Raw genomic sequence first — 20,611 nt, 5'->3', positions numbered from 1 at the left:
TTATTTTATTTTTGTCTTCTGATTGCTACCAGGCACTCTTCGGTGCTGAAGGACATAGCAGCAAACAAGTTAAATTTTTTGTTTTTATGAAACTTATGTTCTAGAGAGAGAAGATATCAAAACAAATCAACAAATAAGTGCATAATGTTAGATGGAGATGTGCTATAAATAAAAACAAAGTGAGATGATGTGAACACAGAGTGAAAGTGACACTGTTTTATAGAGGGTGGCCAGGAGTGATGTTTCTGATAAGGTGATAATTGAGTGGTCCTGAAGGAGTGAGAGAATGAGTCATGTGGGCTTGGGAAGGAAGGACAGGACCTTGTTGCCAGGACCTTCTCTGTGCTGCTATCCTGCTTGAATTTGAGAAACAGCAAGGAGGTAAGCACTCGTACTTGTTATAATTCAGGGGAGAGTGGATGGTATTCTCAACTAGGACAGTGGTAGAGATGGAGTGAGAGGTAGCTAGCTTCTAAATATACATGGAAGGTGGATGGGACTTGCTGGTAGTTTGAGTACGTGGCATAAGTGAAGTTAGCAAGATGGAGACTATTGATGGACCTTGACAAGGGCAACTTCATTGGAGTGGAGGAGAGAAATTGGGGCTGTGAGGATAAACAGCTCTTGTAAGAAATTTAGCTATAAATAAGATCTTTTTACAAATGTAAGTCAATTTTTATTGCCATTTATGCAATTATCTATGTTGTTTTTCTTTGATGTCCAGTGATTTTTTAGTATATGCCAAATTCCCCTATTAAACATGCTAGAATTTAATTATTTCTATTTTAAAACATTAATCTATTTACAGATTCTTGGCTAGAACTACAGTTTTAATGGTTGTTTTATAATGTATTTTAATATGTGGTAAAGCAAGTTTCTTATCCTTTTCTTGTTACAAAGTTTCCTTTTATATTCTTTTACCCACTTATTCTTCCAGATGAAGTTTAGAAACATCAAGAGTATTTTTAAAAAGAAATTATTTTAAAATTTTGATTAAAAAATATTTCCATCCCAAACTCATTTTTAGAAAAAAAAAATCTTTGAAATATTCTTTTTTTAAATTTTATTATTATTATACTTTAAGTTTTAGGGTACATGTGCACAATGTGCAGGTTAGCTACGTATGTATACATGTGCCATGCTGGTGTGCTGCACCCATTAACTCGTCATTTAGCATTAGGTGTATCTCCTAATGCTATACCTCCCCCTTCCCCCCACCCCACAACAGTCCTCAGAGTGTGATGTTCCCCTTCCTGTGTCCATGTGTTCTCATTGTTCAATTCCCACCTATGAATGAGAATATGCGGTGTTTGGTTTTTTGTTCTTGCGATAGTTTACTAAGAATGATGATTTCCAATTTTATCCATGTCCCTACAAAGGTCATGAACTCATCATTTTTTATGGCTGCATAGCATTCCATGGTGTATATGTGCCACATTTTCTTAATCCAGTCTATCATTGTTGGACATTTGGGTTGGTTCCAAGTCTTTGCTATTGTGAATAGTGCTGCAATAAACATACGTGTGCATGTGTCTTTATAGCAGCATGATTTATAGTCCTTTGGGTATATACCCAGTAATGGGATGGCTGGGTCAAATGGTATTTCTAGTTCTAGATCCCTGAGGAATCGCCACACTGACTTCCAAAATGGTTGAACTAGTTTACAGTACCACCAACAGTGTCAAAGTGTTCCTATTTCTCCACATCCTCTCCAGCACCTGTTGTTTCCTGACTTTTTAATGATTGCCATTCTAACTGGTGTGAGATGGTATCTCATTGTGGTTTTGATTTGCATTTCTCTGATGGCCAGTGATGGTGAGCATTTTTTCATGTGTTTTTTAGCTGCATTAATGTCTTCTTTTGAGAAGTGTCTGTTCATGTCCTTCGCCCACTTTTTGATGGGGTTGTTTGTTTTCTTCTTGTAAATTTGTTTGAGTTCATTGTAGATTCTGGATATTAGCCCTTTGTCAGATGAGTAGGTTGTGAAAATTTTCTCCCATTTTGTAGGTTGCCTGTTCACTCTGATGGTAGTTTCTTTTGCTGTGCAGAAGCTCTTTAGTTTAATTAGATCCCATTTGTCAATTTTGGCTTTTGTTGACATTGCTTTTGGTGTTTTGGACATGAAGTCCTTGCCCATGCCTATGTCCTGAATGGTAATGCTAGGTTTTCTTCTAGGGTTTTTATGGTTTTAGGTCTAAGGTTTAAGTGTTTAATCCATCTTGAATTAATTTTTGTATAAGGTGTAAGGAAGGGATCCAGTTTCAGCTTTCTACATATGGCTAGCCAGTTTTCCTAGCACCATTTATTAAATAGAGAATCCTTTCCCCATTGCTTGTTTTTCTCAGGTTTGTCAAAGATCAGATATTTGTAGATATGCGGAGTTATTTCTGAGGGCTCTGTTCTGTTCCATTGATCTATATCTCTGTTTTGGTACCAGTACCATGCTTTTTTGGTTACTGTAGCCTTGTAGTATAGTTTGAAGTCAGGTAGCGTGATGCCTCCAGCTTTGTTCTTTTGGCTTAGGATTGACTTGGTGATGTGGGCTCTTTTTTGGTTCCATTCCACTTCTGTGAAGAAAGTCATTGGTAGCTTGATGGGGATGGCATTGAATCTATAAATTACCTTGGGCAGTATGGCCATTTTCACGATGTTGATTCTTCCTACCCATGAGCATGGAATGTTCTTCCATTTGTTTCTATCCTTTTTATTTCCTTGAGCAGTCATTTGTAGTTCTCCTTCAAGAGGTCCTTCACGTCCCTTGTAAGTTGGATTCCTAAGTATTTTATTCTCTTTGAAGCAATTGTGAATGGGAGTTCACTCATGATTTGGCTCTCTGTCTGTTCTTGGTGTATAAGAATGCTTGTGATTTTTGTACATTGATTTTGTATCCTAAGGCTTTGCTGAAGTTGCTTATCGGCTTAAGGAGATTTTGGGCTGAGACAATGGGGTTTTCTAGATATACAATCATGTCATCTGCAAACAGGGACAATTTGACTTCCTCTTTTCCTAATTGAATACCCTTTATTTCCTTCTCCTGCCTAATTGCCCTGGCCAGAACTTCCAACACTATGTTGAATAGGAGTGGTGAGAGAGGACATCCCTGTCTTGTGCCAGTTTTCAAAGGGAATGCTTCCAGTTTTTACCCATTCAGTATAATATTGGCTGTGGGTTTGTCATAGATAGCTCTTATTATTTTGAGATACATCCCATCAATACCTAATTTATTGAGAGTTTTTAGCATGAAGCGTTGTTGAATTTTGTCAAAGGCCTTTTCTGCATCTATTGAGATAATCATGTGGTTTTTGTCTTTGGTTCTGTTTCTATGCCGCATTCCATTTATTGATTTGTGTATATTGAACCAGCCTTGCATCCAGGGATGAAGCCCACTTGATCATGGTGGATAAGCTTTTTGATGTGCTGCTGGATTTGGTTTGCCAGTATTTTTTTGAGTATTTTATTTGAACATTTTTGCATCAATGTTCATCAAGGATATTGATCTAAAATTCTCTTTTTTGGTTGTGTCTCTGCCAGGCTTTGGTCTCAGGATGATGCTGGTCTCATGAAATGAGTTAGGGAGGATTCCCTGTTTTTCTATTGATTGGAATAGTTTCAGAAGGAATGGTACCAGTTCTTCCTTGTACCTCTGGTAGAATTCGGCTGTGAATCCATCTGGTCCTGGACTCTTTTTGATTGGTAAGCTATTGATTATTGCCACAATTTCAGAGCCTGTTATTGGTCTATTCAGAGATTCAACTTCTTCCTGGTTTAGTCTTGGGAGGGTGTATGTGTCGAGGAATTTATCCATTTCTTCTAGATTTTCTAGTTTATTTGCGTAGAGGTGTTTGTAGTATTCTCTGATGGTAGTTTGTATTTCTGTGAGATCGGTGGTGATATCCCCAGCTGTGCACTCTGTATATGAAAAACCGTGAAAATGTACTTACTAAATGACCAAAGAGGTCTTAATGAGTAGAAATAGAAAGCACAAATTTGAATATAAGAATTGAATATTTTTATTTTAATAAAAAATAAAAATATTTTTAATAAATTTAAATAATTTTTAAAAAATTTAATAAAAAATAAAAATATTTTTAATAAATTTAAAAATTTAATAAAAAATAAAAATATTTTTAATAAATTTAAAAATTTAATAAAAAATAAAAATATTTTTAATAAATTTAAAATTTTAAAAAATTTTTAATAAATAATATTCAATTCTTATATTCAAATTTGTGCTTTCTATTTCTACTTATTATGACCTCTTTGGTCACTTAGTAAGTACACTTTCACAGTCTTTCATATACAGAGTGCACAGCTGTTTTAAATTTTTTGCTGTGTTTGTTTCTTTTGTTAATAGTATTTTAGAGTATATGTTCTAACTGGTAACTGCCTAAACTCAGAAAGGTTATTGATGTTTGCTACTGATTTTTAATCTGGCCAAATTATTGAATTCTTTTGTTTTAATATTCTTATAGGAGATTCTATTGGCTACCCTATGTGGACAACATTACCTGCAAACAGCAATATTTTTCTTTGTCCCTTGAAGTAGTTTTACCACTTAATTTTATTTTCTTCCTAATTACATTGCCTATAAATTATTGTTGTTGTCATATAAATCTGTTTTAGAAACATATAGTTTTCAATGTCCACATCTATACACTCGATTGATTTCATGGCTCAACTCTAATTCTTGAAAACTATATTTTTAAAGATTTTGGTTTTGATCCAGAAGTACCTCAGGTAAATATTTGACTTTTGACTATTTCTGTATATTTGTTGTTTTTTAAAGAAAAAGATAAATTTTGGAGATCTACATATCTGAGATTGACTGACGTTTTTATTTGCTCTCACAGATGAATGGCTACTAGGCTAATTATAAAATTCTTACTGTGGTTAATTCTACATTATATATGTATGCAGGATTATCAAATGTAGAGTTGTAATGTAACTAAAAATATTATGTTTCCCACGGGCATTTTTTTCTGTCTGGTAGGAATACTGGGGGAAATACAAATTAAAGAACCAGATCACTGATTTCTAGGAATAAGTCCCAGGAAGTGGTGTTCAAACTTTGCAGGCAGTTTTAAAATATATGAGCCCAAATGCATGGTGGTGCATGCCTGTAATCCCAGCTACTCAGGAAGCTGAGGCAGAAGAATTGCTTGAACCCGGGAGACGGGTGTTGCGGTGAGCCGAAATTGCACCATTGCACTCCAGTCTGAGCAACAAGAGCCAAACTCTGTCTCAAAAAAAAAAAAAAAAAAAGGCCCATTTTACAACATTTATCTCTCATTCATTTTGAGTTAATTTTTAAATTGCATATAAAATACCCATCCAGATTTATTTTTTCATTTGGATGTTCAGTTGTTCTTTTATTATTTGCTGAAAAGACTAACCGCTCTCCTTTGAATTGTCCTTGTCCTATGCATTTTATAGATTGTTTTGAATGGAATTTCCCTTCTATTTTTAAGTTGTTTTTTATTAATATGTAGAAAAGTATATATTTTGTATTAGACCATTTTGATGAACTTCCTTATTAGTCCTAAAATATTTTTACCTGTTTCTTTTAAATTTTTGAGGAAAATGGTAATGTGGTATTTAAATTATAGTAGTCTTTTTCTTTTCAATATTGACGCCTCCTATTTTATTCCTTCACTTATTGCGTTGGCTAGCTAAATCAAAATGGTGATTTCAGGAATCACTAACTTAGGGAATTTGATGAACTACTTCACATAGTTCACATTTACTGGTTTGTCCGATTCCTGTTGAATATAATTTATAAGGTTATTGAAGTGTTCTTCTAATCCTGGTTTGCTTAGAGTTTTAATTGGGGTTTTTTTCATTTATCTATTTATTGAATAATAAACTTATGTTGAACTTTTTAAGTTTTGAATAAACATAACTCATTCAAAATAATCTTTTAATATACTACTTAATTTAATGTTTAATATTTTATTTTTAGTTTTTACATCTATATTCATAGGTGATATAGATATTTGATTTTTGTATTGGTTATCCTAACTTCCTGAAATGTGTTGGGAAATTTTCCTCTATTTTTGCTTTTGCTGGTTTTATTTTTTCACCTAAATTTATTCTGTCTTGCACTATTTATTGAAGTGATTTTGCAGGAGGATCTCTAGGTCAGCATTTTTATTAGAAGCATTCATGTTGTTGTATATAACTGTGCTAAATTTGTTTTCATCACTGCATAAAATTTGATTGTGTGAATACACAGCAATTTGTAGACATCTTCTCCTCTTGATAGACATTCAGATTAATTTCAATTCGGAACTGTGATAGTTCAGAGCTATTTCTGTTCTGGGCTATTGCAAATAATGTTTCCATAACATTCTTTTGCATGTATTGTGGTTTACATACGCAAGAGTTCCTCCAAGGTACACACACATACTCTACAAGTGAAGTAGCTGGTTTGCAGAATATGCAAACCTTCCAGCTTTCCAGATAACTCCAAAATGTTTTCAAAACGACTCTACTAATTTATATTATCACCAGCAGATATGAGTTTCTGTTGTCAACATTCTTGTCCCAACTTATTTTGTTGAGACTTTCCTTTTTACCAATCTACTAGGTAAGTGGTAATATCTGATTTTAATTTTCTTAATAGGATTATCAGTGCTATTGAGAATTTTTTGGTATGTTTTGTTATCCTTATTTCTTAAAGGATCATAGATTTGCCATGCATTAGCTTTTCATCCCTGTAGAAAGGATAAAAAGAGCATAAATTTAGAAAATTGACAAGTTTGGTTTCAGATCCTGACACTGATTTTTATTAAAAAGAACGACTTACTGTTTTCTATGAGGTTATGAGAGCAAAATTATTCAGAGTGAAAAAAAAGACACAAAGGAGTACAATCTGTGTAGTCTCATTTACATTATGCTGTAGGAAAGCTGAATTTAGCTTTGGGGATTTTTTGGAGGATTAATGTGTATAATGTATATAATGACATCAAGCACAAAACCTGATCCATATTAGAAGCTGAATACATGTCCCTCTACCTCCTTTGCTTTCTTTTTCTTTGGTTGCTGTGTATGACAAATATCAGACACCTGTATAGTTAATATCTGACATCTGTGCAGTTAATATCTGTTATCTGTGTAGTTAATATCTATCACTGCTTGCTATCTGCGTGACACAAAAAAAAGTAGACTTAATTTACATGTGCTATTGTTTTATGTGGATTTTAAAAACTTTAGGTTGATTTTGAACAAGGAAACATCTTTGGAAACAGGATGTCTCTTATTACTAATTACATATCTGGAGAAATACGATTTCACATTAAATATATAGTCCTGATTTTTAAATAATTTATTTACATTGTGGTTCCTTGGGATTAATTATACAAAGCTGGGCCAACCCAGTCATTCAACTACTTTCTACTTATAATGAGACAAAAATTCCTATCAACTTTCCAATTTTTCTGATTTTTAGGGACAGGGTACTATGATTTATGAATATCCCTAGTCATGCCTATGTCAGTTAAACACACATACCCATATGACACAGAAAGCTTAGGTTGTTTGTTAGAGAACAAAATTAATAAATCCAAAAGCTGGAAATATCCTCTTGCTTGTTTTCATTTCTTATGCATAAATTACAAACAAAACCTAACACCTTTGGAATGTTATACCACTAATGGAAATATCTTTGGGGAACAAGAAACATCAAATCATATAAAGGTGCTTCTGAGAAACATCAAATCATATAAAGGTGCTTCTGAAAATCAGCATTCATTTTGAGATTTAAGGCACATTTTTTAAAGCTAAATAATACTTATAATTATTAAGTTAAGTTTGGTCAGATATATAAATCATGCTGTTTATTAAATTATAAATATAGAGAGCTTATTTTGAATTTCTCACTTCAGGAAATCATTTTCACTGTGTTATAAATAAGAACTCAGAAATTGGGGTGTGTCCACACACCTCTGTCATTACTAAAGGAAAACTGAAACTACATTCCCTATCTATTAAGAAAAATGTTGGTCTGATAGAGGAAAATAGTCCATGTTACTAAAACTAATTTCAAAATAACTCAAGGTCTTTACTGTTATTTCCTGGAGAAGACAGGACCCAGCAACACTAATTCAAGTACCCACTCTTCTCTACCTGTCCAATGCCCTACTTGATCTTCTCCATTCAGATTCTGTCTCCAGCTCTAAGACTCCTCAGTCCTCATTCCTCTACCTTCTTTGTTTTATGCACTTCTGTTCACACTTTCATGTACTTCCCTTCACACATTTGTGATCTTTTATTCCAAAAGTCAAAGAACATGTCTGGAAAGGCAGAATGATTTTGGAAGTATGAGAGGATAGGACAATCTAATCGAGTTATATTAAATTCTCATGCTAAGAATGTAATACAACACACTATACACATACACACACACACACACACACTCACAAGAAATCTGCCATTTATTGAGTACTTGCTGTTTGCCAGATGCTGTGGGGACCTGTTAGCATCTTCTGTGTCATCTCATCCTCATGGCAACCTTGTAAGGTAGGTGTATTAGTCTGTTTTCACACTGCTGATAAAGACATACCCTGAGACTGGGTAATTTATAAAGAAAAGAGGTCTAATTGACTCACAGTTCCACATGGCTGGGGAGGCCTCGCAATCATGGTGGAAGGCAAGGAGGGGCAAGTCACAGATTACCTGGTGGCAGGTAAGAGAGAACTTGGCAGGGAAACTCCTCTTTATAAAACCATCAGATCTCATGAGACTTATTCATTATCTGGAGAACAGCATGGGAAAGACCTGCCCCTATGATTCAATTACCTCCCACTGGGTTCCTCCCACAACATGTGGGAATTGTGGGAGCTACAATTCAAGATGAGATTTGGGTGGAGACACAGCCAAACCATAAGAATAGGTAATATTTCCATTTCATGGAGGAAGAAACACCCACAGAGATGTTTCTGAATTGCTGTGGAACAGAAAAAACTAGTTAGTACTCAAGCTGTGTGACTCTCAAGTCCATATTCTGAGCCACTCTGCTCTGCTTCTTTTCTAATGAAATGCTATGTAAATATGAACCTTTACATTTTGAAAGCATTCTCACCTTAGTACAAATAATTGTAAGAAAGGTAAGATACATTCCTTTAAAGGTTAATCTGATTCTTGAAAAGAGTCAAACCTTGTTGGAGCCAAGATTATGTAATTAGGTAGTCACCACACTGGGTGCTATAGTTTGGGGTAAGAAGGAAGATATGGATTCAAAATAATGAGACAGAATTTCCATGTATTTATAAAATTGAGTCAGTAAGTACTCTAAGTCATGGTGCAGTTGATCCCTTTCTTGGGAGTCATTAAAACAATAGTTCAAATCTAGATTCGAGAGTACACATATCAATAGCACATACAGTTGTTTTTTTATAGGTAATGAAAAATTATGACATTAAAGGTGATTATTCTTGCAATGTTCTTAGCAGAGTATTAAAGTACTAAGAATATAGTGAACACTCCACACATGCTATCTGCTGATATTAATGCTAATTATGACAAATTAATTCATCTGCAGTCATCAATTATGTGTGCTGTATTTGCTACTGAAAAATAATTGGAAGGCAACATTGACTATTTTTAACAAGAAAACTAACGGTAAAAATAAATTAAAATGAATAAAGTAAATGGCTGTAATGAACCCAAAATGTGAAAGCCAGTGAACTTCTCAAATTACAATTACAGGAGAAAATAATAGTGTAGAAACTAGAACTACTCAGTCATATATGAGCGTACAACTATGAATAGACCTAGAGCAACTTCTTTTTGTGTCTGAAAATGGAAGGAGGTTTATCTTCCAGACAGCAACTGGGTATCATTGGCTAAAAAACAAAACAAACAAACAAACAAACAACCTTTTTTCTAAAGTGATAGGTGATTAAGAAGGATAAAAGGATTAATAAATTTTAAAGGGGAGAGAAAATATTAAATAGATATGGTTATTAGAGTTGGATAGGTTAAATATAGATGAGCTAATAGGGTCTTAATGAATCCATATTTTCCCTTAATTGGAAAATTAACAATGTTGGCCAAATGAAATGGGTGATGTTTAGAAATAATCTTTCAGAATTGCTTCAGAAGTGTTAAATCACTGGGGAAAATTTTTCCTGAGATATGTGTACACACATAGACGCACACATACACACACACACACCCCTCTATGGCAGGCCTGGAAGGTATTTTCTTCTGCCCTTGGCTCATACTCTTTTGTGGTGATAGTGTCTAGGTCAGGCATTCTCACCCTTCAGGGTGCATTAGAATCCCCTAGAGAGTTAGATGAAACAGATTTCTGAAACTTACCCTCAGAGATCCTGATTCAGTGGGGCTGGGATAGGGCCTAAGAATTGCATTTCTAACTAGTTCCCTCATGATGGTGATGCCACTGGTCTTGGGATTAAGCATTGGAACCTACTGATTTGGAGTCCTAAATGCGTTGGCTCTGGTACATCAACACTTCTGCAGAATTTAACTGGGTTTGCTATCTTGCTCCAACAGTCTATAATAGCATAGTTTTGGAACATCCCATAACGTTTGTGCTGTAATTTAATATTCCTATTGTGTATGACAGACAAGTGAATTGGGGATATTTTTGCATTTATTTTACCTCTCAATTTGAGCACAAAGAAGTAAGATGGTGTCAGTCAAAACACTTCTACTTGTCAAATTATTTTTTAAGAGCTCACAAGTCTATAAAAGAAAAATAACAACCTTGGAAAGGTAAGCTTTTTGCTCAATAAATAAACATTGAGTTTTTCCACTATATTTTTATAGTGTATTTACATTTTGATTCTTTGGAGTTATCTCAATGACAGCTCAGGAGTGAAGACAGTATGAATGCCCCTTTGAAGCAAAATATTCGCTGTTATTAACAGAAGACAAGAGTTACCATATTAAAAACAGAGATTGGGATGCAAAGACTAAAGCAATGCATCTAACAAAATAGATGCATGTTACACAGAATAGCTTCTGGCTACCTAATCAGCATCCTCCTCTGTTTCAGCTTATTTCTTTTCTATACATATATATATATATAGAAATATATATATGTATATTTTATTATCCTTTAAGTTCTAGGGTACATGTGCACAACGTGCAGGTTTGTTACATATGTATACATCTGCCATGTTTGTGTGCTGCACACATTAATGCATCATTCATATTAGGTATACCTCCTAATGCTATCCCTCCCCCTCCCCCCACCCCATGACAGGCCCCGGTGTGTGATGTTCCCCTTCCTGTGTCCAAGTGTTCTCAGTGTTCAATTCCCACCTATGAGTGAGAACATGCGGTGTTTGGTTTTTTGTCCTTGCGATAGTTTGCTCAGAATGATGGTTTCCAGCTTCATCCATGTCCCTGCAAAGGACACTAACTCACCATTTTTTATGGCTGCATAGTATTCCATGGTACATATGTGCCACATTTTCTTAATCCAGCCCATCATTGATGGACATTTGGGTTGCTTCCAAGCGTTTGCTATTGTGAATAGGGCCTAAATAAACATACGTGTGCATGTGTCTTTATAGAAGCATGATTTATAATCCTTTGGGTATATACCCACTAATGGGTTGGCTGGGTCAAATGGTATTTCTAGTTCTAGATCCTTGAGGAATCGCCACACTGACTTCCACAATGGTTGAACTAGTTTACAGTCCCACCAACAGTATCAAAGTGTTCCTATTTCTCCACATCCTCTCCAGCACCTGTTGTTTCCTGACTTTTTAATGATCGCCATTCTAACTGGTGTGAGATGATATTTTATTGTGGTTTTGATTTGCACTTCTCTGATAGCCAGTGATGATGAGCATTTTTTCATGTGTCTGTTGGCTGCACAAATGTCCTCTTTTGAGAAGTGTCTGTTCATATACTTTGCCCACTTTTTGATGGGGTTGTTTTTTTCTTGTAAATTTGTTTGAGTTCTTTTTAGATTCTGGATATTAGCCCTTTGTCAGATGAGTAGATTGCAAAAATTTTCTCCCATTCTGTAGGTTGCCTGTTCACTCTGATGGTAGTTTCTTTTACTGTGCAGAAGCTCTTTAGTTTAATTAGATACCATTTGTCAGTTTTGGCTTTTGTTGCCATTGCTTTTGGTGTTTTAGACATGAAGTCCTTGCCCATGCCTATGTCCTGAACGGTGTTGCCTAGGTTTTCTTCTAGGATTTTTATGGTTTTAGGTCTAACATGTACGTCTTTAATTCATCTTGAATTAATTTTTGTATAAGGTGTAAGGAAGGGATCCAGTTTCAGCTTTCTACTTATGGCTAGCCAGTTTTCCCAGCACCATTTATTTATTAAATAGAGAATGCTTTCCCCATTTCTTGTTTTTGTCAGGTTTGTCAAAGATTAGATAGTTGTAGATGTGTGGTATTATTTCTGAGGGCTCTGTTCTGTTCCATTGGTCTATATCTGTGTTGTGGCACCAGTACCATGCTGTTTTGTTTACTGTAGCCTTGTAGTATAGTTTGAAGTCAGGTAGTGTGATGCCTCCAGCTTTGTTCTTTTGGCTTAGCATTGACTTGGCGATGTGGGCTCTTTTTTGGTTTCATATGAACTTTAAAGTAGTTGTTTCCAATTCTGTGAAGAAAGTCATTGGTAGCTTGATGGGGATGGCATTGAATCTATAAATTACCTTGGGCAGTATGGCCATTTTCATGATATTGATTCTTCCTATCCATGAGCATGGAATGTTCTTCCATTTGTTTGTGTCCTCTTTTATTTCATTAAGCAGTGGTTTGTAGTTCTGCTTGAAGAGGTCCTTCACATGCCTTGTAAGTAAGTTGGTAGTTTATTCTCTTAGGTATTTTATTCTCTTTGAAGCAATGGTGAATGGGAGTTCACTCATGATTTGGCTCTCTGTTTGTCTGTTATTGGTGTATAAGAATGCTTGTGATTTTTGCACATTGATTTTGTATCCTGAGGCTTTGCTGAAGTTGCTTATCAGCTTAAGGAGATCTAGGGCTGACATGATGGGGTTTTCTAAATATACAATCATCAAGTCATCTGCAAACAGGGACAATTTTACTTCCTCTTTTCCTAATTGAATACCCTTTATTTCTTTCTCCTGCCTGATTGCCCTGGCCAGAACTTCCAACACTATGTTGAATTGGAGTGGTGAAAGAGGGCATCCCTGTCTTGTGCCAGTTTTCAAAGGGAGTGCTTCCCGTTTTTGCCCATTCAGTATGATATTGGCCATGGGTTTGTAATAAATAGTTCTTATTATTTTTTGATATGTCCCATCAATACCTAATTTATTGAGAGTTTTTAGCATGAAGGGCTGTTGAATTTTGTGGAAGGCCTTTTCTGCATCTATTGAGATAATCATGTGGTTTTTGTCTTTGGTTCTGTTTCTGTGCTGGATTACATTTATTGATTTGTGTATGTTGAACCAGCCTTGCATCCCAGGGATGAAGCCCACTTGATCATGGTGGATAAGCTTTTTGATGTGCTGCTGGATTCGGTTTGCCAGTATTTTATTGAGGATTTTTGCATTGATGTTCATCAGGGATATTGGTTTAAAATTCTCTTTTTTGGTTGTGTATCTGCCAGACTTTGATGCTGGCCTCATAAAATTAGTTAGGGAGGATTCCCTCTTTTTCTATTGATTAGAATAGTTTCAGAAGGAATGGTACCAGCTCCTCCTTGTACCTCTGGTAGAATTCGGCTGTGAATCCATCTGGTCCTGGACTTTTTTTGGTTGGTAAGCTATTAATTATCGCCTCAATTTCAGAGCCTGTTATTGGTCTATTAAGAGATTCAACTTCTTCCTGGTTTAGTCTTGGGAGAGTGTATGTGTCCAGGAATTTATCCATTTCTTCTGGATTTTCTAGTTTATTTGCATAGAGGTGTTTATAGTATTCTCTGATGGTAGTTTGTATTTCTGTAGGATCAGTGGTGATATCCCCTTTATCATTTTTTTATTGCATCTATTTGATCCTTCTCTCTTTTCTTCTTTATTAGTCTTGCTAGCAGTCTATCAATTTTGTTGATCTTTTCAAAAAACTAGCTCCTGGATTCATTGATTTTTTGAAGGGTTTTTTGTGTCTCTATCTATCTCCTTCAGTTCTGCTCTGATCTGTTATTTCTTGCCTTCTGCTAGCTTTTGAATGTGTTTGCTCTTGCTTCTGTAGTTCTTTTAATTGTGATGTTAGGGTGTCAACTTTAGATCTTTCCTGCTTTCTCTTGTGGGCATTTAGTGCTATAAATTTCCCTCTACACACTGCTTTGAATGTGTCCCAGAGATTCTGGTATGTTTTGTCTTTTTTCTCGTTGGTTTCAAAGAACAACTTCATTTCTGCCTTCATTTCGTTGTGTACCCAGTAGTCATTCAGGAGCAGGTTGTTCAGTTGCCATGTAGTTGAGAGGTTTTGAGTGAGTTTCTTAATCCCGAGTTCTAGTTTGATTGCACTGTTGTCTGAGAGACTGTTGTAATTTCTGTTCTACATTTGCTGAGGAGTGCTTTATTTCCAACTATGTGGTCAGTTTTGGAATAGGTGCGGTGTGGTGCTGAGAAGAATGTATATTCTGTTGATTTGGGGTGGAGAGTTCTGTAGATGACTATTAGGTCTGCTTGGTGCAGAGCTGAATTCAATTCCTGGATATCCTTGTTAACTTTCTGTCTCATTGATCTGTCTAATGTTGACAGTGGGGTGTTAAAGTCTCCCATTATTATTGTGTGGGAGTCTAAGTCTCTTTGTAGGTCTCTAAGGACTTGCTTTATGAATCTGGGTGCTCCTGTATTGGGTGCATATATATTTAGGATAGTTAGTTCTTCTTGTTGAATTGATCCCTTTACCATTATGTAATGGCCTTCTTTGTCTCTTTTGATCTTTGTTGGTTGAAAGTCTGTTATATCACAGACTAGTATTGCAACCCCTGCCTTTTTTTGCTTTCCATTTGCTTGGTAGATCTTCATCCATCCCTTTATTTTGAGCCTATGTGTGTCTCTGCACATGAGATGGGTCTCCTGAATATAGCACACTGATGGGTCTTGACTCTTTATCCAATTTGCCAGTCTGTGTCTTTTAATTGGAGTATTTAGCCCATTTACATTTAAGATTAATATTGTTATGTGTGAATTTGATCCTGTCATTATGATGTTAGCTGGTTATTTTGCTCGTTAGTTGATGCAGTTTCTTCCTAGCATCGATGGTCTTTACAATTTGGCATGTTTTTGCAGGGGCTGGTACTGGTTGTGCCTTTCCATGTTTAGTGCTTCCTTCAGTAGCTCTTGTAGGGCAGGTCTAGTGGTGACAAAATCTCTCAGCATTTGCTTGTCTGTAAAGGATTTTATTTCTCCTTCACTTATGAAGCTTACGTTGGCTGGATATGAAATTCTGGGTTGAAAATTCTTTTCTTTAAGAATGTTGAATATTGGCCCCCACTCTCTTCTGGCTTGTAGAGTTTCTGCTGAGAGATCCATTGTTAGTCTGATGGGCTTCCCTTTGTGGGTAACCCGACCTTTCTCTCTGGCTGCCCTTAACATTTTTTCCTTCATTTCAACTTTGGTGAATCTGACAATTATGTGTCTTGGAGTTGCTCTTCTCGAGGAGTATCTTTGTGGCATTCTCTTCTCTGTATTTCCTGAATTTGAATTTTGGCCTGCCTTGCTAGGTTGGGGAAGTTCTCCTGGATAATATCCTACAGAGTGTTTTCCAACTTGGTTCCATTCTCCCCATGACTTTCAGGTATGGCAATCAGACGTAGATTTGGTCTTTTCACATAGTCCCATATTTCTTGGAAGCTTTGTTCATTTCTTTTTACTCTTTTTTCTCTAAACTTCTCTTCTCACTTCATTTCATTCATTTGATCTTCAATCACTGATACCCTCTCTGTCTTCTAGTTGATCAAATCGGCTACTGAAGTTTGTGCATTCATCACGTGGTTCTCGTGCCATGGTTTTCAGCTCCATCCGTTCATTTAAGGACTTCTCTACACTGCTTATTCTAGTTAGCCATTCGTCTAATCTTTTTTCAAGGTTTTTAGCTTCTTTGCAAAGGGTTCGTACTTCCTCCTTTAGCTCAGAGAACTTTGATCATCTGAAGCCTTCTTCTCTCAACTCGTCAAAGTCATTCTCCATCCAGCTTTGTTCCATTGCTGGCAAGGAGCTGTGTTCCTTTGGAGGGGAAGAGGTGCTCTGATTTTTAGAATTTTCAGCTTTTCTGCTCTGTTTTTTCCCCATCTTTGAGGTTTTATCTACCTTTGGACGTCGATGATGGTGATGTACAGATGGGGTTTTGGTGTGGATGTCCTTTCTGTTTGTTAGTTTTCCTACTAACAGTCAGGACCCTCAGCTGCAGGTCTGTTGGAGTATGCTGGAAGTCCACTCCAGTCGCTGTTTGCCTGGGTATCAGCAGCAGAGGCCATTCCTTCTGAAACTATTCCAAACAATAGAAGAGGAGGGAATCCTCCCTAACTCATTTTATGAAGCCAGCATCATCCTGATACCAAAGTCTGGCAGAAACACAACCAAAAAAGAGAATTTTAGACCAATATCCCTGATGAACATCAATGCAAAAATCCTCAATAAAATACTGGCAAACCGAATCCAGCAGCACATCAAAAATCTTATCCACCATGATCAAGTGGGCTTCATCCCTGGCATACAAGTCTGGTTCAACATACACAAATCAATAAACGTAATCCAGCACAGAAACAGAACCAAAGACAAAAACCACATGATTATCTCAATAGATGCAGAAAAGGCCTTCCACAAAATTCAACAGCCCTTCATGCTAAAAACTCTCAATAAATTAGGTATTGATGGGACATATCAAAAAATAACAAGAGCTATTTATTACAAACCCACGGCCAATATCATACTGAATGGGCAAAAACTGGAAGCATTCCCTTTGAAAACTGGCACAAGACAGGGATGTCCTCTCGCACCACTCCAGTTCAACATAGTGTTGGAAGTTCTGGCCAGGGCAATCAGGCAGGAGAAAGAAATAAAGGGTATTCAATTAGGAAAAGAGGAAGTAAAATTGTCCCTGTTTGCAGATGACATGATGATTGTATATTTAGAAAACCCCATTGTGTCAGCCCTAGATCTCCTTAAGCTGATAAGCAACTTCAGCAAAGCCTCAGGATACAAAATCAATGTGCAAAAATCACAAGCATTCTTATACACCAATAACAGACAAACAGAGAGCCAAATCATGAGTGAACTCCCATTCACAATTGCTTCAAAGAGAATAAAATACCTAGGAATCCAACTTACAAGGCATGTGAAGGACCTCTTCAAGCAGAACTACAAACCACTGCTTAATGAAATAAAAAAGGACACAAACAAATGGAAGAACATTCCATGCTCATGGATAGGAAGAATCAATATTGTGAAAATGGCCATACTGCCCAAGGTAATTTATAGATTCAATGCCATCCCCATCAAGCTACCAATGACTTTCTTCACAGAATTGGAAAAAACTACTTTAAAGTTCATATGGAACCAAAAAAGAGCCCGCATCACCAAGTCAATGCTAAGCCAAAAGAACAAAGCTGGAGGCATCACACTACCTGACTTCAAACTATACTACAAGGCTACAGTAACCAAAACAGCATGGTACTGGTGCCACAACACAGATATAGACCAATGGAACAGAACAGAGCCCTCAGAAATAATACCACACATCTACAACTATCTGATCTTTGACAAACCTGACAAAAACAAGAAATGGGGAAAGCATTCCCTATTTAATAAATGATGCTGGGAAACTGGCTAGCCATATGTAGAAAGCTGAAACTGGATCCCTTCCTTACACCTTATACAAAAATTAATTCAAGATGGATTAAAGACTTAAATGTTAGAACTAAAACCATAAAAATCCTAGAAGAAAATCTAGGCAATACCATTCAGGACATAGGCATGGGCAAGGACTTCATGTCTAAAACACCAAAAGCAATGGCAACAAAAGCCAAAACTGACAAATGGTATCTAATTAAACTAAAGAGCTTCTGCACAGTAAAAGAAACTACCATCAGAGTGAACAGGCAACCTACAGAATGGGAGAAAATTTTTGCAATCTACTCATCTGACAAAGGGCTAATATCCAGAATCTAAAAAGAACTCAAATTTACAAGAAAAAAAACAACCCCATCAAAAAGTGGGCAAAGTATATGAAGAGATACTTCTCAAAAGAAGACATTTATGGGGAGTGGGTGCAGTGGCTCATGCCCGTAATCCCAGCACTTTGGGAGGCTGAGGCGGGTGGATCACGAGGTCAGGAGATCGAGACCATCCTGGCTAACATGGTGAAACCCCGTCTCTAATAAAAAATACAAAAAAATCAGCTGGGTGTGGTAGCAGGTACCTGTAGTCCCACCTGCTTGGGAGGCTGAGGTGGGAGAATGGCGTGAACCCAGGAAGTGGAAATTGCAGTGAGTCAAGATCACACCACTGCACTCCAGCCTGGGCGACAGAGCGAGACTGTCTCAAAAAACAAAAAAAAACATTTATGCAGCCAACAGACACATGAAAAAATGCTCATCATCACTGGCCATCAGAGAAATGCAAATAAAAACCACAATGAGATACCATCTCACACCAGTTAGAACGGCAATCATTAAAAAGTCAGGAAACAACAGGTGCTGGAGAGGATGTGGAGAAATAGGAACACTTTTACACTGTTAGTGGGACCGTAAACTAGTTCAACCATTGTGGAAGACAGTGTGGCAATTCCTCAAGGATCTAGAACTAGAAATACCATTTGACCCAGCCATCCCATTACTGGGTATATACCCAAAGGATTATAAATCATGCTGCTATAAAGACACATGCACACGTATGTTTATTGCGGCACTATTCACAATAGCAAAGACTTGAAACCAAGCCAAATGTCCAACAATGATAGATTGGATCAAGAAAATGTGGCACATATACACCATGGAATACTATGCAGCCATAAAAAATGATGAGTTCATGTCCTTTGTAGGGACATGGATGAAGCTGGAAACCATCAATTTCAGCAACCTATCGCAAGGAAAAAAAACCAAACACCGCATGTTCTCACTCATAGATGGGAATTGAACAATGAGAACACATGGGCACAGGAAGGGGAACATCACACTCTGGGGCCTGTTGTGGGGTGAGGGGAGGGTGGAGGGATAGCATTAGGAGATATACCTAAGGTAAATGACGAGTTAATGGGTGCAGCTCACCAACATGGCACATGTATATGTATGTAACAAACCTGAATGTTGTGCACATGTACCCTAGAACTTAAAGTATAATAAAAAAAATAAAGAAAAGCAAGTGAAATACTAGGTGGTATGGAAGCATCAAATATCAAAGCCAATCTCTTTTATCAGAAAAAGAGAAAAATGTCTGACATCACAGTCATCACTGGCCCTTGATGCTTCTGCCACTGGACGCATGTCTGCTGCTATCACCAGCGCATTATAATTACTCATTTGCCTCGCCACCCAGGAAGAAGCCAACTTCAGGACATTAAGCTACCATAAGAAAAGAAACAGGAGGATTCTCTTCTTTTGGATCGTATGGTACAGGTAGGACATTTCCTCTGTATCAGTCAAAATTTGATCAGAAAAAGAGACCTCATTCTAAGTGTTTCACCAGGAAGAGATTTAATAAAAAGAACTAGGGGCTTATGAAACAACTGAAAGAGCTTCTAGCATGCAGATTTTTGCTAGTGTTCAAATACTCTGGATGTAACTAATGCTGCTTTAGTCAAACATGTTAGAAGGATATTTATTACCAATGACAACATTTGCCTGTCAGCACCTAAGTAGGTGATTTGTATGAGAATTCCCAGCTACTGCTGCAAATCTTCATGTTGGGCAAATGCTTTGAGTTCACTTGCCAATGCTGAATGCTTCCTGTCCACTTTCCAGATGCCGTGTGAATGCCTAATGAGTGGGATCTGAACACAACTCTGCTAATAAGGAAGTCTCCAAAATGTAGTTCCTAGCTGTCCAGTTCCTGTGATTCTTGAACAGTTGTTGAAGAGGATGAGTATATTGTTGAATGCCAACACATAGTTCTGTTTTCCTTCACAGAGACAATATACATGGGGAATCATCCCCAAATAGAAAGATGAGTTGCATGCTGAACCAAAAGATTACAGCAGTGTACATAACAATGTAACACTCAAAAGTTCTTTATATAATATGTGTTTCTAAACAGATGAAAGCATCCAATAAAAATTGATTTTTAAACCACCAGTAAATCTCTCTAAGTCATTTTCAAACATGATCTTACGGTCTATGTACCATGACTTTATATATGTAATGTTTTCTTCTAATATGATTGCTATGTGCTAGTGTAATTAGGGAAAAACAATAGCAAAACTAGGTGATAGATAGATAGGTAGATAGAGATGATTGATAGATACATAGAGGGTCTCTCCTCTTCTATCCACTACATACAAAAAATCGCCCTTGGATCTTTGACTAGATCATCAAATGGTCTTCTATATTCACTATATTTTACCAGAAAGAAGCTATTCATTTCATGGTTTTTTTTTTAAATCCAGTATAGTTGTATTATTTTAAACTCACTTTAGAGTGTATTCGAGTTCACCTTTCTGTGCAAGAAAGACCACTCAAGACAACCACAGCTTTTCATTGATCCATTCAGAAA

The 20,611-nt window shown here is 36.6% G+C and overlaps 2 long non-coding RNA genes across 2 annotated transcripts in view; one reads left to right on the top strand and one right to left on the bottom strand.

The window, feature by feature from the left end:
• LOC101927960 (uncharacterized) overlaps window positions 1–20,611 on the bottom strand; it is a 282,946-nt gene that overhangs the window by 48,232 nt on the left and 214,103 nt on the right. The gene's annotated exons all lie outside the window — the stretch shown is intronic.
• LOC105373857 (uncharacterized) lies at window positions 3,660–20,082 on the top strand. The gene is made up of 4 exons (XR_007088063.1): window positions 3,660–3,693; window positions 8,458–8,517; window positions 19,439–19,518; window positions 19,864–20,082. It is a non-coding gene; the product is annotated as an uncharacterized LOC105373857 (long non-coding RNA).

The sequence above is a fragment of the Homo sapiens genome, chromosome 2, assembly GCF_000001405.40.
Source record: "Homo sapiens chromosome 2, GRCh38.p14 Primary Assembly".
NCBI lineage: Eukaryota > Metazoa > Chordata > Mammalia > Primates > Hominidae > Homo > Homo sapiens.
The sequence above is the reverse complement of the archived record's forward strand: the minus strand, read 5'-3'. Positions and strand labels throughout refer to the sequence as shown.